Source organism: Homo sapiens, chromosome 6, assembly GCF_000001405.40.
Source record: "Homo sapiens chromosome 6, GRCh38.p14 Primary Assembly".
Lineage (NCBI taxonomy): Eukaryota > Metazoa > Chordata > Mammalia > Primates > Hominidae > Homo > Homo sapiens.
Window position 1 is genome coordinate 57,339,236 of NC_000006.12, and position 26,327 is coordinate 57,365,562.

The 26,327-nt window shown below is 37.5% G+C and overlaps 1 protein-coding gene across 6 annotated transcripts in view, besides 1 other annotated feature; it reads left to right on the top strand.

Moving 5' to 3' along the window:
- The window catches only part of PRIM2 (DNA primase subunit 2), a 425,311-nt gene that overhangs the window by 117,696 nt on the left and 281,288 nt on the right, over positions 1 to 26,327 (top strand). The gene's annotated exons all lie outside the window — the stretch shown is intronic.
- Positions 7,720 to 8,220: an enhancer, noted in NCBI's record as "H3K4me1 hESC enhancer chr6:57211753-57212253 (GRCh37/hg19 assembly coordinates)". NCBI's record gives its function as "activates a minimal SCP1, AML or CMV promoter by ChIP-STARR-seq in naive H9 embryonic stem cells {active_cell/tissue: H9 hESC(naive)}" and the evidence as "EXISTENCE:reporter gene assay evidence [ECO:0000049][PMID:30033119]".

Below are 26,327 nucleotides of genomic sequence, written 5' to 3' on the forward strand. Positions count from 1 at the left end.
CTCATGGGTAGGAAGAATCAATATCGTGAAAACGGCCATACTGCCCAAGGTAATTTACAGATTCAATGCCATCCCCATCAAGCTGCCAATGACTTTCTTCACAGAATTGGAAAAAACTACTTTAAAGTTCATATGGAACCAAAAAAGAGCCCGCATCGCCAAGTCAATCCTAAGCCAAAAGAACAAAGCTGGAGGCAGCACACTACCTGACTTCAAACTATACTACAAGGCTACAGTAACCAAAACAGCATGGTACTGGTACCAAAACAGAGATATAGATCAATGGAACAGAACAGAGCCCTCAGAAATAACGCTGCATATCTACAACTATCTGATCTTTGAAAAACCTGAGAAAAACAAGCAATGGGGAAAGGATTCCCTATTTAATAAATGGTGCTGGGAAAACTGGCTAGCCATATGCAGAAAGCTGAAACTGGATCCCTTCCTTACACCTTATACAAAAATCAATTCAAGATAGATTAAAGACTTAAACGTTAGACCTAAAACCATAAAAACCCTAGAAGAAAACCTAGGCTTTACCACTCAGGACATAGGCATGGGCAAGGACTTTATGTCTAAAACACCAAAAGCAATGGCAACAAAAGCCAAAATTGACAAATGGGATCTAATTAAACTAAAGAGCTTCTGCACAGCAAAAGAAACTACCATCAGAGTGAACAGGCAACCTACAAAATGGGAGAAAATTTTCGCAACCTACTCATCTGACAAAGGGCTAATATCCAGAATCTACAATGAACTCAAACAAATTTATGAGGAAAAAAAAACAACCCCATCAAAAAGTGGGCAAAGGACATGAACAGACACTTCTCAAAAGAAGACATTTATGCAGCCAAAAAACACATGAAAAAATGCTCATGATCACTGGCCATCAGAGAAATGCAAATCAAAACCACAATGAGATACCATCTCACACCAGTTAGAATGGCAGTCATTAAAAAATCAGGAAACAACAGGTGCTGGAGAGGATGTGGAGAAATAGGAACACTTTTACACAGTTGGTGGGACTGTAAACTAGTTCAACCATTGTGGAAGTCAGTGTGGCGATTCCTCAGGGATCTAGAACTAGAAGTACCATTTGACCCAGCCATCCCATTACTGGGTATATACCCAAAGGACTATAAATCATGCTGCTATAAAGACACATGCACACATATGTTTATTGCGGCACTATTCACAATAGCAAAGACTTGGAACCAACCCAAATGTCCAACAATGATAGACTGGATTAAGTAAATGTGGCACATATACACCATGGAATACTATGCAGCCATAAAAAATGATGAGTTCATGTCCTTTGTAGGGACATGGATGAAATTGGAAATCATCATTCTCAGTAAACTATCACAAGAACAAAAAACCAAACACCACATATTCTCACTCATAGGTGGGAATTGAACAATGAGAACACATGGACACAGCAAGGGGAACATCACACTCTGGGGACTGTTGTGGGGTGGGGGTAGGGGTGAGGGATAGCATTAGGAGATATACCTAATGCTAAATGACGAGTTAGTGGGTGCAGCACACCAGCATGGCACATGTATACATATGTAACAAACCTGCACATTGTGCACATGTACCCTAAAACTTAAAGTATAATAATAATTTAAAAAAATGGTGTTGAGTCTTTTTGTTTTAGGAAACAGGAATTTATGGGAAATGTATGCAGTTTTAACAAGAGTGTTGGTGTTTAAAATTACTCTAGTTGCTTCTAGTCTGTTTGCCATATTTTATTTATTTATAAATTTATATCCTGTTTCACTTTGCTAATCATTTGAGGTGCATTATAATGAACCTGTGCATTAAAGTAAGATGCATAAATTTGGATAAACTTGAAAGATTGGCTGAAGTGATGATTAATATCCGTATGTATACATCCCAGTGTGGTGTTATACAGCTTCTAAAGGGAGCAGTAACTTTGCCTTCTTGTGTGACTATTTTGATTTTTCTAGTTCAGTGATTCTCAGTGGGGGGATAGGATGGAGAGGTAGTCCTCCTAGGGTGTTTATTAGAACGTCGGTGGAGGTTAGTATAGAGTATAGAAAACATTATGCCTTATGTTTTTGAAATATAAACCATAGAATGTAAAGCTTGATCAAGTATTTGTGGCTGATGGGGATTCATGGAAGATAGAGTAACAAAGTATTGCAGAGGGCTTGACAGAATAACCATTCCCGTGATAGTCTGCAATCACTTTCCAGGCAGAGACCTTTTCCCATCTTTTTCATGGACTCTCCCATGGCATCTGATACTGGTAATTAAGGCACTTGAATTCAGGTGCTGTTGATTAGCTTGTCCCCAGGTCTCTGTAAGCTCTTTCCATTTCATTGTAGGCTTTCCCAATTTTTATCATTTCATTAATAGGAACATGCACACTTTCATCACTTTGGTTAGAATATTTAGTTTGCATTTGAAAACTGCTATAGCTAGTCAGGTATCAGTGATGCTTTTAGACTCATGACAAAGCAAGGTTTGGGGAAAAGTTACTAGCATTTGTTTCATGAGGTGGTGTCTGATGTGTGACCTGCTGCCTAAGTCAGGTGCTGCTGCATAAGTTGAGGTGGAAGGAAACAGCAGGGAGTGGGCAGCCACGGGGCCATCTTGTTTGTCACAGAAGCTGGATTGTTGGCACACATGTCTTTGAGTCAACCTGGACTTAAAGTGCTTGTGTGCTGTGTTTGTGTGCATTTCTCTGTCTTTTCGGTTTCCTCAATGCTGCAGTTGCTTTTATGTTGATCTACTTCTGTAAAATAAATATATTTTTACCTTAGGAGGAGATGCAGTGTTATACCTGAGTTGTATTGTGTCCTTCGATGGAGAAATATGTACATAAAAAGGGATCATTAATTTCTGGTGTTCTATTACTGACTTGGGCAGTGCATTGATACTTTTTTAGTCTATACTGGGTTTCTGGTGGATAGTAGATTCTGAATCCTTATCATGTAGTATAGGAAGCCTTAATATGAAGTGTTCAAAAAGGAAACTGATATTTTTCATTCTTTGACCTATATGTAAATAAATTGGATTTTAAATCTGAAATTTCTAAGGCGTTTCAATGAGTAAATATTGCTGTCCATGGTGACTATTTTGCATCTCCCACTGCTGAGTTGATTGACTTAACCTTGGTCACATTAAAGGTGAATGGGTAAGGTTAAACAGATTCTATTAATGTTTCTTCAGTTGGCCAGTTAGGGAAAGGTCAGCTTTGGCAGCTGTCAGCCTTACAGACAAAGGGTTTCTGTGCTCTCGCAGTCTAGAGTCTGACAGCAGCTTCTAATTTACTTGGATGCTTTTTAAAACCTCCTTAAGACAGTCAAGAAATATTTCTTATTGGCTTTGCAATACCAGTGGGTCTAATGGTAGGATGCTTTTCATTAGAGTACTACAGAATGGCAGGGACAGTGAAAATGAGCATTCTTAAAGATGTGGAAGAATATTCTGTGTGTCACAAATGATGACTCTACCTCATATTAAAAAGACCTAGTGTTCAGTTGCTATTTATGTTCAGGGAAGTGAGGGCTTTTGGGTGAAGGCAAGTGAAGTTGGTAACCTCGTTGCCTCACTAAAAACAAGTACACGTAAAACTTTGAATTACTTCTGTTTATTTAAAAGTAGTTTTTCTTATCCTGAGCCTGACATCTAAAATTTGTTTCTCATCCCTTTTAGTTTAAAGCCTTAATTTCTTTTATCTTAGAAATTATTTCATGTCATTCTTGGTTGGTAATTACTTTTCAGTGAGGATGAATTCAAGTTTAATTTGTCATTTGTTATTGAAAATGTCAATTATGAATTTATTAGGAGCCTTTGGAGGCTTTTCTCCAGTTAACATTGGAACATTGAGTTTACGTTGATTTAATAGTTTTAGGTGTATTGAATTTTAAAATACTTTTGGTATTCTGTCTTGATTTCTGAGATACTGCAAGTTGGCCTTAAATAGTCATAGTTTTTTGATCATTTTGGCCCTTACTGTGTTGTTTTTATTGTTTATTGGTATAGTTTGGGTTGTCATAGTTCGTTTCGAATGTGTATTCATTATCATGACCTACTCCATTTCTATTATGTAAAATATGAACATCCCATGCATTGATATACATGACTCTCTTTATACCTACCCTCTTGGGTCTCAAGTTATTATAAGCCTATTAACAAGTTGCAAAGCAATTTTTGTGTGATGCCTGCAAAATAGAGAGCTGTGTGTACCTTTTTATATCTTTTGACACAGAATGAACTTTGATACAGCCAATAAGGAGTCTGGTGGAACAGCTGAGACAGGACACACAGATGTAACAGTAGAACAGGCTAGAGAACACATGTGTTTGATAAGCCTGGAAGCTTTTCACAGGGCTTCTGGCAAGCCGTTGACTATGACAGGAGTGAAAATGGAGCCTGAAGAAGAGTGAAGTGGGATGGTAAAACACACACTCTCAAACACTCTTAGTGGAAATTACGTAAAAGGAATTAGGAGGAACGGGATTAATAATCAGATGAAGAGTGTTAAAGAAAAAAAATTATTCATGTCATTTGTTAAGGATAGTAAGGAAGACTTTATTCAAAGGGGCTACTATAATAGGTTTTTGTAGTAGGGGAGAGAGAGAAGCTGAAGTTGGAATATGATAGGATAGGTGGGGATTTGGAGCAGGGGTCAGGGTGGATGGAAAATTATTAAGAGGTAGTAAAGTGACCTAGGGAATTTTGCTGAAGGCAGACCAGGATCATAAGATATTAAAGATGGTCAGACGAAGGGTGGGGGATTTTCCCTAAACTTACTTAGCAGGATTCTCACTGAAACTGAATTAGCAGGCCTTATCAAGAAGAGGTTTCAGGAGCTTGACAAGAGTTAGGTCAAGGAGAGAGTCTTTGTCAAGTGTCAAACATAACTTCTGAATAGAGAAATAAATTGTTTTATGTTCCAAGGCTGTGAAGTAGGCAAGATTGACAGTCCCAGGCAGGGTACTCTCTGAGTGTTGAGTGAATGTTTAATGTCTAGAGAAAATACTAACTGAATTCAAAAGATTTATCTCAATTCTGTTTCATAAACACTAGACATCTTTAAGATGAGTATAGCAAAATTGAGTAATTATTTTTTTTCAAGGTTAAATATTAGATAATAGGTATATGTTATATATGAAATGAGCTTTTCTATTGAGCTAGATTTGAGGGATTATGCTGCCTTGCAAACTTTTATTTGTTCTGTTTCTAGGGAAGTTTATGATTTAGAAAGAGCACTGTGTATTTCTGTTACAATTGAATACCTTTCAAAATGATTTAAATGAAGGCATTAACACAGGGCTTCCTTTTTAAAAGTAAACACTACAAGTATAATACTTTTGTTCTCATAGTGGTTTTTGGCATCAAATTATTATGGAAGCCAACCTGGTATTATTTTATGTATATTTATTGGGCAGTTACAGTAAAATATTGATACATTTTATATTTGGAGAATGGAGAAAAGTTTATTAAGTTTTCTAGTTAGTTGAGGCCTAACCATTTATGCATATAGTTGTAAAAATACACCATGGCAGATGGTCTTAGTGACAATATTTTAGAGTTCACAGAATTTGGGTTTTTCTAATCAACCTACAAAATTAGATTCTGCTCATGATAATATGGTTTAAGCCTAGAGATGCTATGGCTAAATGTGAAACTTCAAGCTGAATTACCCTTAAAGGCTAAAATTATCATATGCAGAAATTTCCAAAATGACTTGTGAAAGTCATTTCTCTTTTTTAAAGTTTTCATATAGCTTTTGAATATAGGACTCTTTGTATTCTTATTGTTGATGGCTTTCCATGCCTATAACTTTTGCCCTTGAAAAAAAAAGTATGTCTTTAAATGAGCTGAAGTTTCCCCCACACAGAGCTATGTCCTATTTGTTTTATAATGATATATATCTATTTCAATTTTATTAATTTTTTTTTTTGAGACAGGGTTTCACTCCATTGCCTAGCTTGAGTGCAGTGACGTGATCTTGGCTCACTGCAACCTTTGCCTCCTGAGTTCAAGGGTTTCTCTTGCCTCAGCCTCCCTAATAGCTGGAATTGCAGGCATGCGCCACCAGGCCCAGCTGATTTGTGTATTTTTTGTGTTTTTAGTAGAGACGGGGTTTTGTCATGTTGGCCAGGCTGGTCTCAAACTCCTGGCTTCAAGTGATTCATCCACCTCAGCCTCCCAAAGTTCTGGGTCTACAGGCGTGAGCCACCATGCCTGATATATATATATGTGTGTGTGTGTGTGTGTGTGTGTGTGTGTGTACATACATATATATTTATATCCTCAAAGAATGAAATTAATTACACTAAATATAATTTTCAGTGTTAAATATTCTCTGTAGTTTACCATTTACATTATGGAATGTAGTTTCCAGAAAGGGGTTCTGATCCAGACACCAAGAGAGGGTTCTTGGATCTTGTGCAAGAAAGAATTTGGGATGAGTCCGTAGAGTAAAGTGAAAGCAAGTTTATTAAGAAAGTAAAGAAACAAAAGAATGGCTACTGCATAGGCAGAGTAGCCCTACGGGCTGCTGGTTGGCTATTTTTAAGGTTATTTCTTGATCATATGCTAAACAAGAGGTGGATTATTCTTGAGTTTTCTAGGGAAGAGATGGACAATTCCCGGAACTCTGGGTTTCTCCCCTTTTTAGACTATATAGGGTAATTTTTGGATGTTGCCATGGCATTTGTAAACTGTACTGGTGCTGGTGGGAGTATCTTTTAGCATGCTAATGGATTATAATTAGCATATAGTGAGCAGTAAGGATGACCAGAGGTCACTTTTGTGGCCATCTTGGTTTTGGTGGGTTTTGGCTGGCTTCTTTAATGCATCCTGTTTTATCAGCAGGGTCTTTAGGACCTTTTGTCTTGTCATAGCCAGTCTTGCTGACCCTTTGTCTCATCCTGTGCCTGAGAATGCCTAACCTCTTGGGAATGCAGCCCATCAAGTGCGAGCCTCATTTGATCCAGCCTTTGTTCAAGATGGAGTTGCTCTCGCTCTACTAGAGTCTTTTGGCAGTGTTACTCATGGTTTCTGAAGGTGTTCTGAAAAAAGATACTGAGCTTTTAAATGTATACTTTTTTTTTTTGAGACGGAGTCTCACTCTGTCGCCCAGGCTGGAGTCCAATGGCATGATCTCAGCTCACTGCAACCTCCTCCGCCTCCTGGGTTCAAATGATTCTCCTGCCCCAGCCTCCCGAGTAGCTGGGATTACAGTCGCCCACCACCATGCCTGGCTAATTTTTGTATTTTTGGTAGAGACGGGGTTTCACTATATTGGTCAGGCTGGTCTTGAACTCCTGACCTTGTGACCCGCCTACCTCGGCCTCCCAAAGTGTTGGGATTACAGGCGTGAGTCACCACGCCCAGCCATGTATACATTTTTAAAAATTCCATAATCTTTATAATCTTTCCCTCTTTCCTCCAAGTTCCCTGAAAAGTTAATTCTTTTTGGCTGAAGTCTTGTGTCATGGTCTAGTTCAGAGTCTAGGTCAGATTGCCTTATCCTAGGTCTTTTGGATGAGAATAAGAACCAGGGATGTGGAGGGCAAATGGAGTTGTAAAGGTAATCATTTTGTGTTCTCAGTCTTTGAGTGGCTTAATCTGAGTTACAAAGGGAGGAGGAAGTAGTTGCGTAACAAATCCATTTGGTCCAGGCCCTGTGAATATATCCATTCTGCTACTCCCCACCCCTCTGAAGGCATACAAAGGACAACAGCACAGTTAATACCCCTATTCTGGACTTGTCTCCATTTATTCTCTGCTTGCTTCTGTTTGTTTATCTCCATGACTTTCAAATACCTTGTGCTGTACTTCGGCTATTGATACCTGCCTCCTGTCTGGCTTTGTTTCCTGTTCATCTCTGGTCAAAGTGTGCTCTCCCCATTCCAGGAGAATCCTTCTGTTATCTTGGAGCTTAATAGCCAAATATATTCCAATTCCCTTTAGTTGGTCCAAGGAATAAGGCTTCTGTATGAATATTGGAAAACCCAGAGGACTGTTTCCAGACTTGGATGGGGTCCTTGTTTTCTAAAGGAGGAATATTTATTGATGACTGTATAAGTAGTGGACTTATTAAGGTTTAGATTTATCTGGTGATATAAGGAGACTGAGGAGAGATTATCACTAATAGCTAACATTTGTAATGTGTTTGTTAAGTGCCAGGCACTTTGGTAAATACTTCACATGGGTAAAAAAATTTAACTTCTTCTTCTGTGGTAGAGACAGTTTTGCTCTGTCGCCTAGGCTGGAGTGCAGTGGTGTGATCACAGCTCACTGCAGCCTTGAACTCTTGGGCTGAAGTGATCCTCCCACCTCAGCCTCCCAAGTAGCTGGGAATACAGGCGCATGCCACCCTGCCTGGCTAATTTTTTCTTTTATAGAAATAAGTTCTTACTGTGTTGCCTAGGCTGGTCTTGAACTTCAGGCCTTAAGTGATCCTTGCAACTTGGCCTCCCATAGTGCTGGAATTACAGGTGTGAGTCACTGTGACCAGCCAGGTTTATGTAATTTAATCCTCACAACAGCTCCATGAGGAAACTGAAGCTCAGACAGGTTAAGTAACTTTCCTTAAAATTAGTCTTCTAAATATTTAGAGATGTATAAGTCACAAAGCATGTTACTAAATATATGAGTAGATTTCTTCACAGCTTAACTATTGAAATGAAGTGGAATAGATGCTGACATTTAAGGTGACAGGGCCCATCAAAAGTGCTATACAAACACAGGTGTGAGTTTAGAGATTTACATTAGTTTCGGAAATTAAAGCATTAACTATAATTTTACTGAGATGTTTCATTTTAGCTGACAGTTGTTGGCAGGAATGGAAACCAAATATATTAAATATACCATTGGTAGCTTTCTCGGTATAATATTGCCATCTCTAGGGAAAACATTATATTCATCCAACTTAGTCGTTGAGGGGTTTGTTTTCTAGCCCGTAGTTTTTCTATGCCCTTTTTGTTTTTCTTCTCTGCTACCTTTTGTTTATCTTTTTAAAAACATTTTTCAGATCACATTGTATATTTTAGTTCATGTTCAACAATTAACTCATGTATAATATTCAAAGATCAGTGTAAATCAAAATCCAGGCAGTAGGTAAAAAATATATTTTTAAAATTTTAAATTAAGTTTTATCAGGCAGTAGATTTTGTACTTGAAGTGGGAGTCATTATTTTAATAGGCCAGGAAAAGAAAAGTTATGGACTTGAGTTGGTTTTTTTTACTATCTCACAAGAGAGATGCCATAGAGGAAAGCCTACTGTTTCAAACTGAGCCTTTCACAAGGATGGCTTGTTGGTTCAGTCCAGTAGTTCTGGACTATAGGGGTTATAGTCACCCCTGCTGGATATTTTGGCCATCTTTATGGTATTTTTGGTGTTTGTAAAAATGATTGGCAAGTCCAACAGGTGTTTAGTAGACAGGAGATGGGGATGCTGGTGCATTTACAGTGCACTGAGTAGTTCTGTACAACCACAGATTTTCCCACATCCTTCCTGCCCTTTTTTTTTTTTTTTTTTTTTGAGACAGAGTCTCTCTGTTGCCAAGCTGAAGTGCAGTGGCGCGATCTCGGCTCACTGCAACCTCTGCCTCCCGGGTTCAAGCTATTATCTGCCTCAGTCTCCCAAGTAGCTGGGACTATAGGTGTGTGCCACCCCGACCAGCTAATTTTTGTATTTTTAGTAGAGACGGGTTTTCACCATTTTCGTCAGGATGGTCTTGATCTCTTGACCTGGTGATCTGCCTGCTTCGGCCTTCCAAAGTGCTGGGATTACAGACGTGAGACACCATGCCTGGCCTCCTTTTTGACTTTTTATATTCATGTGAACAACAACAGAAACCCAGAAACCAAAAAACTAAACTGTTTCTAATTATCTGAATCTACAACTAAACACTGTTCTATAAATCAACACAAAATATTTTTCCCCCATATTTTTGGTATACCCTCATTGTTCCTGGACTCCAACTAGCCTATGAGTTGAGGAAGATAATACTTTGTTTCGTTCTGAGTGTTTCTGAGTTCGCTTTTTTGACAAAGAACATCACTGATGTGGTATTTGAAACACCAATGCACACACCGTGTCAGTTTGCATTGGTAGGTGGGTTATTCCCGATGTTTTTGCTGATGGGTATGGTATCTAACTACTTGATCATGTAGTCTAGGGCACTGTGTCTGATCAATTATGTATGCCACTATTTTTTTGTTTTAAATTTTTAAATATTTTATATATATTTAGTTATGGAATTCTATTGATATTAAAAAATTGTGAATTTTATTTTTGGATAGTAATACAAGTATTGCAACATATTTTAAGTATTAAAATATTTAAAGAAGCATTGGGTCTGATCAGGTTGTTAACCACTAGTTCCACCCAAGGTGTGTTTCTTTGCTTTGCAGATTCTCAGGTATGATTCTGTTACATTCTTGCGTGTAGTATTATTAGCCCTGACTGTAGCATATTTCTTATTTTTTTTGTCTTTTTGGAAGATTTAAAGTAGTTTTGGCTTACAGTTCTACTTTTCTTTTTTAACACTTTTCTCTTTTTAAAAAAAGATATTGTTTGCCTTGCTAATACTAAAGTAGCTTTCACTGCAGTCACATTGTTTTCATAACTCAAGTTATATCTGGATATTTTCCTATTTTTTGTAAAAACAAAAAAAATCTTCTTAAACCTTCAATATGACTTACTTTCAGTACCCTTAAGAACTTATTAGCAAAGCAGATGAAGGAAAGAGCCCAAAGCAAAAATAATAATAATAACTTCTTCTTGGACCCCTTCATATACAGAGTTCAAAGCTCTTCATTTCTTGTGAATGCAGAGCTTCCCAGAATCCCTGTGGAACAGGGCAAGCTAACCTCTCAGATAGGAAGGATTAAGACTGATTGTCTGTTTACAGATTTTTTGGTGGGGATATTCAGTTCTTTCTATTTCCCTTGGAGAGTTCTTCATAGAACATGTAGTGAAGGTGCCTTTTTTTCTGAGCTTGTACTGTTGATATAGTGAGGTTTCTGGTCTTTGGATCACTTTTGTATAGAATCCTAGAAATCATCCATTTATGACTATGATTTAAAATAGCCAGTCTTGAGGAATTCTAATCATAAAAATAATTCTAATTTTCAAAATTAATTTTATTTATTTACATTTTGATGATGTTAGTGTAAAGAAAACCATAGAGAAATCTCACATATCATAAATCACTGAGAGAACTTTGCCTTTGGATTAAAGGACCGCTGAAATTTAACTTGTCAATCTGCAAGCCTCAAAGATAAATAAACCTCAGGGGAGGCGTAGGAGGGGTGGTTTGGGATGAGATGAGTAGGTCGGGGTGATCTCTTTCCCTTGCTTCTTTGAGAAGGCTAAGTGCTGCTAGAGCTCTGTTCTGAGGACCAGCTGGTGATAGATGAGCTTCAGTTCCTTCTTTTTTCCAGCAACAGCAGCCTTAGTGTAATAGTACTTCAGTGCCGCGTGGTTCTTTCTTCCCTTTCCAGCTTGAACACAGACATAGGCCCATCATCTCATTTTTTCTAACCACAGTATAACCTTTACTTTTGTGGACGTTTCCTAGATGTCATATATTCTGTTTACTTAACATTATTTTAATGATACCATCTCCTTTTTTTATTTCAAGGAAATGTGCTCATGTATTTTCCACATTAATCTTGATTCTGGTTTTACATTTTTACTAAAAAGCAGTTTGTCATGGGAAAGAGTGGAAGATGAGACTAGCAAGATAGGAGGGCAGGAAGGAATTGTGGAAGGTTTTTGAGGATCAGGGTGACATGTTATAATCTAGTATGATGAAGAGAACTGCAACAGCTGAGTAAATAAAGGATTGGGGAATTGAGACCCAAGTTGAGACATAAGGTCACCAAGTAATTAATTATAGGCTGAGTATCCCTTATCTGAAATGCTTGGGATCAGATGTGTTTTGGATTTCTATTTTTTTTCAGATTTTGGAAAGTTTATCTTATACACTTACTGGTTGAGCATCTGAAAATCTGAAATGCTCCAGTGAGCATTTAACCTGAGTGTCATGTTGATGCTCAAAAAGTTTTAGATTTTGGAGCACTTTGGATTCTGTATTTTCAGGTTTGGATGTTCAACCTGTTGAATGTTGAGACTTATGGTAGAGACCTCTTAGAAGGATATTGCCAGTGTTCAGGTTAATGATAAAGATAATTATTTGTTGAGCAAATAGTGAGTGACCAAATGAAGGACTGAATGAGGATGTGAACTATATTAGTAGCTGTGAGAATGGAAAGAAGTGGGCAGATGTGGTAGACATTATGGAAATAGCCTAAAGACTTGATGGCTAATGGAATGTGCAGTGAAGATGACTCCAAGCCATCTGGTATAGAGGACAAGAGTAGTGTAATGTTAGTAATGATAGTGAACATAAAAAAAAAGGAGTATGTTTTTGGGTTAGGATAGTATATTTGATGTGAAGATATTGCTTGTGAGTGCTATGGGCCAGTAGAGATAGACAGTGGGCAGTTCAAAATGTTAGGTTGAGTTCAGGAGATCGTTGTTGAAAGTATATAATCACAATATCACAGAAAATAGTATTTGCAACTGTGAAAACAAAGCTTGCTAAGGGAGAGAGGATGAATAAGATCTGGGAAAATTAATCTTATAGTAGATTTTTCATGACCCCGTGTAAGTTACTGACCCTTTCAATGCCTCATTTTCTTCTACTATAAAATGAGGAAAATTATAGTATCTCCTTAATAGAATTGTTGTGAAATTGAATGGAATCATCTATGTAAATTGCATAGAGCTTGGCAGGCATATAGTAAATACTCATTAAAGGTTAGCTATCTTATTGTTTATTGAAGGTTTAAAATTAAACAAGTGATCTTATTAGCAGTGATATTTTTATTTCTCAAGTTAAAACTGTTTGGTTTTTGTAGGTGTGGTTAGTTGTAATCTTGGAACTAATTTTTTGTGATAAATATGTAATTCACGTTTGAGTATTTTTATTTAAAAGTGTTCACTTTTCTTTTCTTTTTTTGAGCCAGAGTCTCGCTCTGTTGCCCAGGCTGGAGTGCAATGGCGTGATCTCGGCTCACGGCATCCTCCGCCTCCCAGGTTTAAGCAATTCTCCTCCCTCAGCCTCTTAAGTAGCTGGGATTACAGGTGTTCCCCACCATGCCTGGCTAGCTTTTGTATTTTTAGTAGAGATGGGGTTTCACCATGTTGGCCAGGCTGGTCTCAAACTCCTGAGCTCGTGATCCATCTGCTTCGGCCTCCCAAAGAGCTGGGATTACAGGTGTGAGCCACCACGCCCGGCCTATTAAAGTGCCCACTTTTCTTGACATCCTCTAAGATGTAGACTTTACCCTTGGTTGAATATATGTTTTTCTTTGATTAGAGTGGGGTAAATGAAGGGTGATGATACTCACACTGAATCTTGAATTTGACACATTTCTTCCAATGAAAATGGGCTGCAAGGAACCCAGTTGTATCTGGCACCGTTTTTTAGTTTTTTTTTCTCTGACACAGGATTACTGTGCTGTAGAAGTGTCATTTGGGGGAGCCAAAGCACTGTACTATAATATATATACCAGTCCATTCAGTGTAGAAGGGGAAAAAAAATAGTGTCATGAATTGAAGTTCATGCTTTTCAGGTGTTTGTATGTTTCTTCCTTCTGCTTTAATAGTAAATGGTTAGAGGGATTTGTTAAATAGTAAATGAATAAAACTAAATGCAGAGCACAAATATAGCTAGAATTTTAATTTTTTTTTACATTTGTATTTTAGTTCTATTGATATTTTAAAGGTAATGAGAAATTAGCATCTTCAGTTGGATATGTGTCATATCCCTTCAAAGCTGTAATTGCTTTAAATTAGACTGTCAATTCCTTGTCTAATTGAGACCCATGGTGAAATCCCAAAAAAAAAAAAAAAAAAAAAGCAGTCTTTGGATTTTTCCGGTCAGTGAACTGGCTAATATTTTCTGAGTTCCTGTAGATACAAAGCACTGTAAATTATATTTACAATATCACCACTTGAGTAAGTACTTAAAGAGACAATTTTGGAACTGTTTGGTTGATTAGTGTACATCAGAGCTATTGTTTGGTTTCTCTGGGTAGAGGTTGTTCAGGGATGTAATAGGATCTGCATACAAATAGATTGCAATTTGTGTTTAGAAAGGATAACTTACTTTTAAAATTCTGTCTCTCCTGATTTTCATTTAGTTTGCTGTATACCACTTAAAATGGATTAGAATTCATTTTCTTATTCCTGTTTAAAATAACCTTGGCCTGATTATTTTTCTTTTTATTTACCACTCCTCTTGAGACAGGTGTGTGCACATGCACACATACATAAAGAAGATCTACGGTTTTGGTGGTATTTATAGCAGGGAAAAGAGATGATTTATTTGAACTTTTTAGTAGATTACTATCGGTAGTCTTAGGAAAAGTCTATTTTGGAATTTCACTGCCTCTTTTTTATTTTTTTATTTTTTGGTGAGAGGTTGCTAGAGCAGAGGGGCTGTCTCCAAGACCATGTCTTCATCAGAAACTGGGGTTTAATAGACGTTAGAAATGGTATATATTTCTTCCACCATCTCTTAAGCTCTTCTGTTTATTACCTGACTTTTGTTTATCAAATTCCAGAGTTGCTTACTTTTGTTTTGTTAGCTAATAGGGGTGCTTCGGGTGGGTTAAGAGAAGAAATACTTTTTTCAAAAGTCACCATCATTCTGTGTGAGAGAGAATGTAATTCCTATAGAGAAAAGTAATTAGTTAGCTTGGTGTGTTGTAATGGCAGCTTTGCTATTTTTTTGTACTCTTTCTCTTTCTTCGTTTCACAAAGAAGGTTGACAAGCTACTTACCTTTCTATGAATGCTTTTCTTTAAAACTATATAATTGAATGCCTAGAGAAATGAACCTTGGCTTTAGCAGTACTGAATGGCAAAAGTGGAAAGAAACTCATTTTTCCCTTCCTTCCTTCCCTACTTCTCTTTCTCCTTCCATGCTTTCCTTCCTTCTTTCCCTGTTTCTTAAAAAATGCGATTTGAATCTAGTTTGGGTAAAGTTGACCTGTGGGGAGTTGAATGAGAAAACTGAAATTAAGTATTTTTCTTCTGAGTATTGTGTTAATTTGCTCCAAATGACAGAATTAGCCTAAATGTTGAGAAGTGCTAAGTTTCAGCAAATGAAATTGAGCTTAATTTGTATTTCTTTATGTTTACTGTGTATGTGGTAAAATTAGATAATTAATAAAGGTTTAAAGGGATTCTAACTGATAAACTCACCGTTTCACCTTCTTAAACCTAAGAAGCATAATTTGCCTAAATTATGCAAAATGCTAATTAAAGGGTTTAATTTGCTAATCATATCCATTTGATTAGAGGCAGATGCTGATTATCTGCACAATTCTAAATGGACCTTTCAAAGATGGCTTTCATTATTTAAAATCAACTTGTCAAATTAAGGCATAAACTTAAGGAATAACAAATACCAGTAGTTAACTATGTACTTCCAGTGTAACGCAGGGCAAGATGATTCACAAATGCTGTGCATCAAAGACTTGGTGTATTCAATGTCATTATGAATTTCAGTAGTCCCAAAGTTTAAGAGTTGAACTTTGTTTGGCTTTTTTATTGAGCTTATTAGATTCTGTAGTCATACCTTTGTTGGTCCTTTGGGTCTTTGACTATTTTCCTGGCTCTTTTTTCTTCCTGCTGTGAGTCAGACAGCACAAAGAGCAGAGGCAGTCTTGTCCATGTGCATTCACACCATGCATAGAAATGGTCAGAACATATCGGGCTGGGCGCGGTGGCTCACACGTGTAATCCCAGCACTTCGGGAGGCTGAGGTGGGCAGTTCACTTGAGGTCAGGAGTTTGAGACCAGCCTTAACAGCATGGTGAAATCCCGTCTCTACTAAAAATACAAAAATTAGCTAGATGTGGTGGCGGGCGCCTGCAATCCCAGCTACTCGGGAGGCTGAGGCAAGAGAATCACTTGAACTCGAGAGGCGGAGGTTGCAGTAAGCTGAGATTGCGCCACTGCACTCCAGCCTGGGTAACAGCGAGACTCTGTCTCAAAAAAAAAAAAAAAAATAAGTAAATAAAAAAGAGGAAAAAAAAGAATATTTAACAGACAGGTATGCCACGCTCCCTTTATAGGTTACCAAATCTTCCTCTTACATATCTAAGAGATGTGGCAGGAAACAGACAACAGGTATGGGTCAGTGTTACTGCTGGGAAGCAGGGGGAACATCTCAGTTCAATAACTGAACAAGAATTTGGATCCAGGCACCCAGCCTTTGTATTCTCCCTGGCTTGTCTTTTTCTTAGAGTGAAGACAGAAAACTATTTATAGACTGGTCAAGTGTGTCTGTGGCTGATTTAGGGCAAAGACTAGGGAAACCAAGGCAGAAACTGCATTACTTTTTTCTTTTTTTTTGAGATGGGGTCTCATTCTATTGCCCAGGCTGGAGTGCAGTGGTGCGATCATGGCTTCACCTCCCCAGGCTCAGGTGATCCTTCCACCTCAGCCTCTTGAGTAGCTGGGACTACAGGCATGTGTCACCACGTGTGGCTAATTTTTGTACTTTTTTTTTCTGTAGAGATGGGTTTTGCCATGTTGCCTGGGCTGGTCTCAAACTCCTGGGTTCAAGTGATCTGCCTGCCTCGGCCTCCCAAAATGTTAGGATTGCAGGTATGAGCCACTGTGCCTGGCCAAAACTGCATTACTTCTAATCCAAGTTAGAAACAAATGGCCCAGTAACAGAAAATGTTTGGGGTTTTGCATTCGAGACCTAGGGTGTTAGGATAGGGCATCTGAGGTATAGACATATGAATCCTGCTTTGACCTGCATCAAGATCAAGGGTAGTAGGATGAGAGCGTGCTGTCTAAGCGGGGATACACCAGAGAGGTCATATAGCTTGTGAGTGAAGAGCATAGGCTCTGGTGCTGTAACACCTGTAGTTGAATACTGGTGCTGCTATTTACTAGTTGTTTTTCTTCTCTGACTTAGTTTTGTCATCTGTAAAATAGAGTATATAATAGTATTACCTCATAACTTTGGGAGGCTTTAATAAGTTAGTACTTTTTCTAAAGTACTTATTAACAGTGCCTAGCATATAGTAAGTACACAACAAATATTAACTATTATTTATTATTATTTGTTACCATTCTAGCTTTTGTATGAGATTTGCAAATGATAATGTATAGGGAGAACACTGGATTTCATCCCCCAATACCCACTTGAGTTCTTTAACTGTGCTACAAATATATGTAGAGTAATAAGTTATAAGAACTTCAGTAGTATAAAGCTAATAGAACTTGAAATACTAGAGTCTTATTAAAATGAATAAGCACAGATTTGAGTCCAAATCTTCTTTTCATGCAGTCTGAGGAGGTTAGGGATATGTGTAAATTGTTGCTAAACTGACAGCTATTGGAAGAACCTGATCATGAGCACTTTTTACATTTGAATTCAAAGGGTAAAAGGGGAGGTTCCTTTAAATTTAGTTATTTTTTGGCTTTTAGAGGATTAGATTTGTGATAGGATAAGGAATAATAGAGTGCTGTTGATTTTATCCTGGCTAAGATTAATAGTCTGTTTGCCACTTCTATGCCTAAATGTCTCTAGAATCTGTCCATCTCCTTTCAGTTTCATTGTCATTATTCTAGCTTGGGCTACCATGATTTCTTATCCAATCCATTCTTTTTTTTTTTTTTTTTTTTGACACGGAGTCTTGCTCTGTTGCCCAGGCTGGAGTGTAGTGGTGCAATCTCAGCTCACTGCAACCTCGGCCTCCTGGGTTCAAGTGATTCTCCTGCCTCAGCCTCCCAAGTAGCTGGGACTACAGGCGCACACCACCATGCCCAGCTCATTTTTGTAGCTTTAGTAGAGACAGGGTTTCACCATGATGGCCAAGCTGGTCTTGAACTCCTGACTTTGTGATCCCCCCACATTGGCCTCCCAAAGTGCTGGGATTACAGGAGTGAGCCACCGTGCCGGCCTATCCAATCCATTCTTTACCCTGAAGCAAGAGTGCAGATATTTACAGATGTCTATGCTACAGCCCCTCCCCAACTCTTCAGCAATTTCCTATTAATATAATGTTAATCTTCAAAATTTGTAATAAGTTACCTCAAGCTCTCATCCCTGTTTACCTCCCTAGCCTCATCTCTTACCACTAATCTGTAAACTCTATGGACCAGCCATGTGAACTTCCTTTAGTTGTGAAAACATGTTTTTTCCCCTTGACTTTGGATACTCTTCCCTACATTTCGTCTAATTCTGACTCATCTGTCATGTATCAGCTTAAACAGTTTTCTTTCTGGGACATTTCCTTAAGTTTAGCGTAGAAACCCATCCTCTGTGGCTTTTTTTTTTTTTTTTGAGACAGTTTCGCTCTTGTTGCCCAGGCTGGAGTGCAGTGGTGCGATCTCGGCTCACTGAAACCTCTGCCTTCTGTATGTTCAAGAGATTCTCCTCCCTCAGCCTCCTGAGTAGCTAGGATTACAGGTGCCTGCCACCACTCCTGGCTAATGTTTGTATTTTTAGTAGAGATGGGGTTTCACCATGTTGGTGAAGCTGGTATCGGATTCCTGACCTCGTGATCCACCCGCCTTGGCCTCCCAAAGTGCTGGGGTTACAGGCATGAGCCACCGCACCCGGCTTCCTCTGTCAGAGCACTTGTACTTGAGGGTTATCACCCGCCTGTCTTGAAATGGGCTCTAAGTCTCCTGAAAGCAAAGGACCCTGAATATGGTGTTTATTACCTAACACAATGTCTAGCCTATAGGAGGTACTTAATGTATGTTGGTTGAACAAAGGAGTAAATAAATGAAGTAGCTACCTACAGTTGTTCCCCAGAAGATACATTACTTAAGCACCCTAGAAACTGTTTGGCCTTTTGAATGTTTATTGTAAAGTTTAAATTCTCAGTTGTTTGTTCTTAGTTTGTGCTAACAGCTTCATAAAATGGGTAGATCAAGCAATAGTGTGCAGTTAGCAAACTGGGTCCACAAACTCAAGATTCAAATCACTTTTGGCTAATTGTGTACTTATGGACATCAGATTGCTCTTGTATTAAAATTTATTAGGCAGACTTTGAGTGGGAAAATAAAAATCTTGATTTGGTAGATGCTGGAGAACAGTAAAAAATAGAAAAATTTGCAGGTTGGTGAGATTTCCCAGATTCAGTGTGTGGTGTATCTCTAAAGTTCAAAATCCTTCAAGAAGGTTGCTGGTGTATGCTGGGTGTCAGAACAGGAGAGATGTTTTTAACACCTAGCACAGCTGCAAACTAGGTGGTCTGGAATTTGCAAGTACATCTTTCAGTTTTATTTCATCTTGAAGCTTTCATGTGGGTTTAACAGTTATTCAATGTAATTGAAGTTAATGTAGCTAAAATTGCATATTATTTTTGAAGTGTTAAGAATGAAAATAATTTATGGTCTTTAAGAATGAATATGCCAATATTTCATATTCTGTATTGGCAGTACAGTAAAAATTAATTATTTTCACTATAAGTATTATATAAATAATAAAGATATTTAGGAGGGAGTATATATGCTAATAGGAAATAAATGTTTTGCCTCCCAGGAGATCATCTTAGCTGGTACAGTGGATTAAAAATGGCCTCAAATTATTTGATATTTTCTCATTGAGAAGTGGGATCTATGTCACCACCCCTTGAATCTCAGTAGCTTTAAAAAATTATGGTTAAATATACATAATCTTTACATTTTAAACTATTTTTAAGTGTACAGTTCTTTGTCATTAAGTGTATTCACATTGTTGTGCAACCATCCCCATTCATCTCCAGAACTTTTTCATCTTCTCCAGCTGAAACTCATTACCCTTTAAATACTAACTCCTCATTCTTCCCCTGCCCACCTCTTGATGTGAGTGGGTTTTGGCAAATAGAGTATGGATGGCAGCAGTGACAGAGTACCAGTGTCTGGGTACAGGCTTTAAGAAACTGGGGGCTTCCACTTTCTGTCTCTGGTACACAGTCTTCAGGAGCTCTGGGATGCCATTAAGAATTCTAAGTAGACTTGATGGAGAATCTGTTCTGAAACCTGGCAGTAACTAGTAATTGCCATGCTGGAGAGGCATGTTGACATTCCCACCTGAGCCCAGCCTTTTAAGCATCCCTGTCACGGTGCCATACATGAGAGCAGAGCCATCTAAGAACCTCCAGATTAATCTGTTCACCAGCTCAGTACCTCTGGTGACTTCATTTGGTGCCACATGGAGTAGAGACATTGCCAGCAGCACCCTTTCTGAATACCTGACCATCAGAATTGAGAGCTGTAATACAATGGCTGTTATTTTAAACTGTTAAGTTTTGGGATAGTTTGTTATACAGTGATAGATAATTAGAACTGGTAGCTAGAGCTTCTGGCTTCTTGAGTTTGAGCTGAAAATAGCAATCAGTGTATCCTAAATACCTCAAAACAACTGTACTATGATTTGGAAAGACTATATAAAATGTAATGAAAGATACTATTAACAATTAAATAATATGGAAAATGAAATTCCAATAATTAGTTGAGTGGAGAAGACAACTCTGAGGAGCCCAGATTACTTAGAAGGGACAGAAATGGGAAAATTGTTGATAAATGCTTTTCACCTTTCAGAAATTTGATTGGTGAATCTGCTTAAAAGTTAGCTGAGAAGTTTGTGGCTTTTTCATTTTGAAGAAGAGATTTGCCAGGAGTCTGAGAATCCTTTAAATTCTTCCAAAGACAGCTTTATTATGTTTAGGACAGTGGAAAGTAATGTAATAAGGTATAAGGTATGAGATAATGAGGTTGATGTTTTTATGTGGTGCTCTTAGCCCCTTAGAGTTTGCCAAAATTTAAAGCAGACCAAGTTTAATGAGTGTACTTCATAGTATAGATTGTGGACAGTCCTTTTTGCTTGCTAAATTCAATTTAGCTCAGATGGTGAATACCAATATGTTCAGAGTACTGTGTAGGTGCTATGGGGGATTTAAAAACACCTTCTTAAGTAGAAAGAGGTATAAATAAATGAATGAAACAATCATAAGTTACTATAGACACCACATTATACAGGCTTCTTAATTTTTGTATGCCATTTCTAAATGGTTGCAGATTTTTCTCCTTTTATTTTCAGCATTTAATGCTTTATATTGGCTCTTGATATATGGAGTTTGGATTATGGAAGGTAAGGGGGAGATTTTAATTCATATGGAAATCTATGGAAATTATTTCTTACTGAAAAACTGAAAATAGATAAAATAAAAAAATACAATTTCGTAAGTCCAGGAAAGCAGGACAGTTGAGGCCTAATAATACCCTTTTGTGTTGGCAGACAGATTTGCTGCTATTATGACACTTTGCTTAAGGAATGGGAGTATCGTGGATGAATACAAACCTATACACAGCTGTTTGTGTTTGCTGCACAGCTTTCTGGATACCTTAAGCTGTATCACTTTTGGATTGTAATGATTTTACTGGAGGCAAGAAACAAAGTGAACAAGATACAGCATCAAAATTCTCTTTTAAGTTTCCCAAGGCTGCTCTTATTTCTCTCTACAAAATAGAAATAATAATTTTGCCCTTTTTTTGATAACACTAGCAGTAGCAAGCAAAGTATAGATAAGAACAAGTGACATATTTTGAGTAAGTGATCAATGTCAGGATCTTTACAGAGAACAATAAGATGGATCTAAAATGAATGAACTGAGTGTTTTCTCTTTTTTTGCAGTTTTGGGGGGCATCGAATGAAAATGGCCACATTTAGGTAGGGTAGGAGAACAGGCTTTGGAAGGAGCGGGTATTTTATTACAGTGTGAATAAAATAAATATTTAGAACATTATAAGAATGATGGCTGACACTGAGAGATTCATGTTAATGTTATAGGTTTCTCAAGGCTGATAGGAGCTCTTATATTGTATTTCTAATGTAGAGGAATAGAAGGAAAGCTATGGATGGGGTGCAGAAGAATGGCCCTTTGGCAGTGTAGGTAGTGCTGCTTCCTGTCACACTCTAGTGTTACAGCACTTATAAACTGGATGTGCCTTCTGAGGATACTATCCTTTCTGAGTGCATCGTGGCCTCTTCCTATATTTGAATCCATGTTTTAAGTGCAGATGAAGCGCTTGGACACTGTGGCACTGTAAGTAGGATTAGAACCGTGACTTAGGATAGGGTATAACCAAGGGGAGGAAGCTTGGTGGACCTTGAAGTAAGATAAATGTGTGAGTAGCCTCTTTCTCCTTCTTGATGCAGGGCACATGGATGAGATGGTTGGGAAACACTTTTTAAGTCCCTGTGAATGTCAAGAAGTGGCTTGAAGGGGCTTTAATCTCTCAATCCCTTCCCCACCAAGGTACCCCAGATTAATGAACAATTGATAAAAAGTGTGCTTTCTATGCAAATGTGTCTTTTAAGATAAGTTCCCTAGCAAAATCCCACTCCTAAGCACATCCTATGTAGAAATTCTGGAGCCACTGTTGTCCTTTATATTATTTTATAGCTAATATTTAATAAATGCTTTATGTGTGTCCAGCATTGTGTTGTATGTTATGGAAGATTTGCATTAACATGTTTATAGTTGAAGAGAGCAGGAAAAGACTGATTTCAGGAAACAGAACAAGGTAAAATAATCTGGTGTCAGAATATTTAATATGGTCTACAAGGGTTATAGGGGGAAAAAAAAGTGGGCATTGCCATGGGCTGGATTAATGTAGGAAGGCGTCATTGAGCTGACAGCTGTGAACAGCATCTTAAAAGATAAGGCAGAAAGGAGGTAGCAGAGATACTCCAATGGATGGAATATCATGTGCCAACTGCAACTTTAAATGTCTGAATAATTTTCTGAGGAACTAAAAATATTGAATTGGGTCAACAAATAGGATACCTTTGTCAAAGCCATAGAGCTGACTTCTAATATTTTCAGTTACAAATATATATATTTGAGCATCTTTTAGAATAAACACCTCCCTTCCCTTCACACCAGGTAAAAAAATAGCTGGTATTCTACCATCCATATGAATTTGAAATATACGATAGAAATATAAATTTAGTAACACCTGACTTATTAAAAATTGCCAAAGATTTGATTTCCTATGGTCTATAAGAGAAAATTGCTACAAATCAATTTATTTTTTGGAATTTATTTTTCCTTACTCTTATTGCTTGAATAAACGTGGCTGCATCAGTGGTTCATGTTGACTCAAAGCAAGTTTCTCCCTTTCCTCTCCAGCTAAGGAAAGCCATATTTTTTTTTGTACTATGCTACTGTTAGCTGCTTGGCTTGGAAGACTTCGGTTATCATTATATCTTTCATGACTCAGAATCTGGCTGCCTCTCTTTCAATGATCTTGAAAATGTCCAAGATGCTGCATGATTTAGAAATGTAGAACCAAGTTAAGTTGAACAGTTTTCTACTGGGCTACATTGTAAAAATGGGAAAGGGAAATTACTTCCTTTTTTTTTTTGGAAAACACTTGCCAGTTGGAGCCTCAAAGAAGATTGAGTTTGAGAGGCCTTTAATTGTGCACCAAAAGGTTATTGCAGAAGATAACATAAAGGAGATGTCATAAAGAAGAAAATTTGAAGCTCAGTAAGAGAAAGCTGTGTGAAAAAATAGGCATTCTGCCAATTAACTGGGTGCTTGAAATAAATAGTTTGTAATTAAAGAAACGGTTGCAAATTTCAAAGACTTGATCAGTTTAACTTAGCTCATAGGGAAACCGGGGTGGTGGTGGGTACAAATTTCAGTTGTGAAAGCATGCTTACTCTCATTAAAGTTTTGCTTATCATTCATTAAATATTTACTGTTTGTAAGGTTTAGTAATATAAGATCAGAAAGTTTGTTAATCTAATATTTAATGTTAAATTATTGAAATAAAATTTCAACTACATTTGGGTAAAAGTGAATTATGATCTTAGGAGTTCAGTCATGAACTATTGACCATCTCAGTAGTTAGTATTTCCCAAACTGGGCAAAGTATGGGTGAGAGTGTGTAGAGGGGAGACCCAAGAAAACATAGAAATGGTCCATCACCCTTGGGTCTACTCATCTACTGAAGAACCATGACACAATTATATATGTAAGCAATTAGTAATAAAATATCATATGTTTATAAGTATAAAGGAGACATACAAGAAAACATTAAATGTTCATCTTTCCATACATGTCTGTCTTCATGTTGCATTAGTTTCAAGTGAAATGTGTTTTTTTATGTTTTATTACTATATACTATACCTTTTCATCCAAAGAAGAAATAAGAGATTGTCTCCTTTATTGGAAGACATTTTTGCTGGATGTAGAATTCTAGGTTGGCATGTACTTTCTTTTAGCACATTAAGATATATCACTCTGCTGCCTTCTGGCTTCTCCTCTTGCTGTGGGGAAATCAGCTGTTAGTCTAACTGTAGCTCATTTGAAGGTAAGACAGCCACCCTGCTCTTAGTCTCCTTTTAAGATATTCTATTTAATTTACTTTTGTTTGATTTAAATATTCTGTTTGTCTAGGAGTAGAATTCTTTTTATTTATCCTGCTTGAGTTTCACCAGCGTTCTTGAATTTGTAGATTGGTGTCTTATATTAATTCTGGAAAATTCTCAGCCATTATTGCTTTTAAACTTCCCTCTACCTGTTCTTTCTCCTCTCTGTCTGGTGTGTTAGTCAACTGTATTTTAGGTCTTCTTAGTCATTCACTTTTCATCCTCAGGTTGTGTCTTCCTTCTTTTTGTTCTTTCTCTGCTGAGTTACAGATTATTTTTTCTGAACTATTTCCCAGTTTGTTATTTCTATATTCTGTTTTGTCTGTTCTACTCCCATTGAATTTTAAATTTTGGCTACTGTAATTTATTTGTTTTTTTTTTTTCACATCTGCTATGTTGCTTTTTATGGATTCCTATTCCTTGCAGATATTTTAATATTTGCTTTTCTTTTTCAAATTTGTTGTAGGTTGCTTTTTAATCTGTCTGATAATTCTAAGAGTTAAAATCTGTGTGGTCTGTTCCTGCTATGGTTTGTGATTGTCTTTCACCCATGTTGCCTTATTTCCTTGCGTGGTTGGTTATCTTTAACTGGTTATTGCCCTCCCACAGCCTTTTTTCAGGACATTTTCAGGGTGAATGTGCTCTCCTCTGAGAGGTACTGTGTTTGCTTTTGCCAGGTTTCTGAGAGTATTACTTTAGGGGTATTATGTCAGGTATTAAGTCAAGGACACTTTTTAAACCGTATTTAGGATTGTGTCTCTGGCCCATCCACACCATATATACTTTGGGTGGCCACAGCTTCTCAAAAACTTCATTTTCCTACCTTTTTCTTTTCCTGCTTTGCTCAGTGACAAGTCAGCTTGCCCTTCGTTCTTCTGTGGTTAGGAGAGAGATGGTGGGTCAATTCTAGTTCACTCTTTCTCTGAAGATGTTCTTCGTTTGGGTCTCCAGTTTAATATAGGGAGGGCCTCTTGCAAGAGTCTTCCGCTTGGCAGGCCCTAATCCTTGTGTTTTGCTACCTTGCCCCTTGAGACTGAAGATCTGAAGTATGAGGAGATGGCATTTACTAATGTCCTCAGAGCAAAAATGGCATTAGTTCTCCTGGGTTTGCCTCAAAATTTGGCCAACAAGTTCCCTTTTAAACTAAATATTAGTTTAACAGTATTTTTAAAATGCTGTTAAGCTAATATTTTTAAGTGTTTTGTCCATCATTTTTGTTGTTTTCAGTGAGATGTAGATCTGAATAACTTAAGAAATCAGAAACTGCTAATAGCACGGAGCCCATCTGCTGCTGTGCTGTTGGTGATGTTGCAAATTGTTCCCCTCTCCCCTTAACATATTCTGAGCCTCAAGTCAAGACAGCTTACTGGGCTGGAGAGGTGATGGTCTAAAGAATTATAAAGATTTTTTAAAAATTTAAGTTAAAATAGCTTCTTAAATTATTATATCAAATTAATAGAGAAGTATTATTTCTTTAATTTGTTTAACTGCCCTTGTGCTCATCTGGAGAAACTGTCAGGAAAGATGATTTTTATTAAAGGCACTGCTGTTACATTCACTCAGGCATGATTCTGTCATAACTTCTTGGTATTTCCTTTCTATCTTTCTTAATTGCATGTTTTCCCTCCATCTCTGTCACAGTGCCAATTCTAGGACTGCCTTATTACTGCTTGTTGGTCTAGCAACTTCTTAACTGTTCTTTAATTATTAGCGGAATTGAACATTATTTTGTGTGTATGAATTTTTGTGCCTTTTCGTGAATTAATCTGTTTTTTATCTTTTGATGAATTTATTTTATTACATCCTATCATTAATAATTTTTAGTCTTTTGGGGTTTCATCACACAGAATATTTATTTTT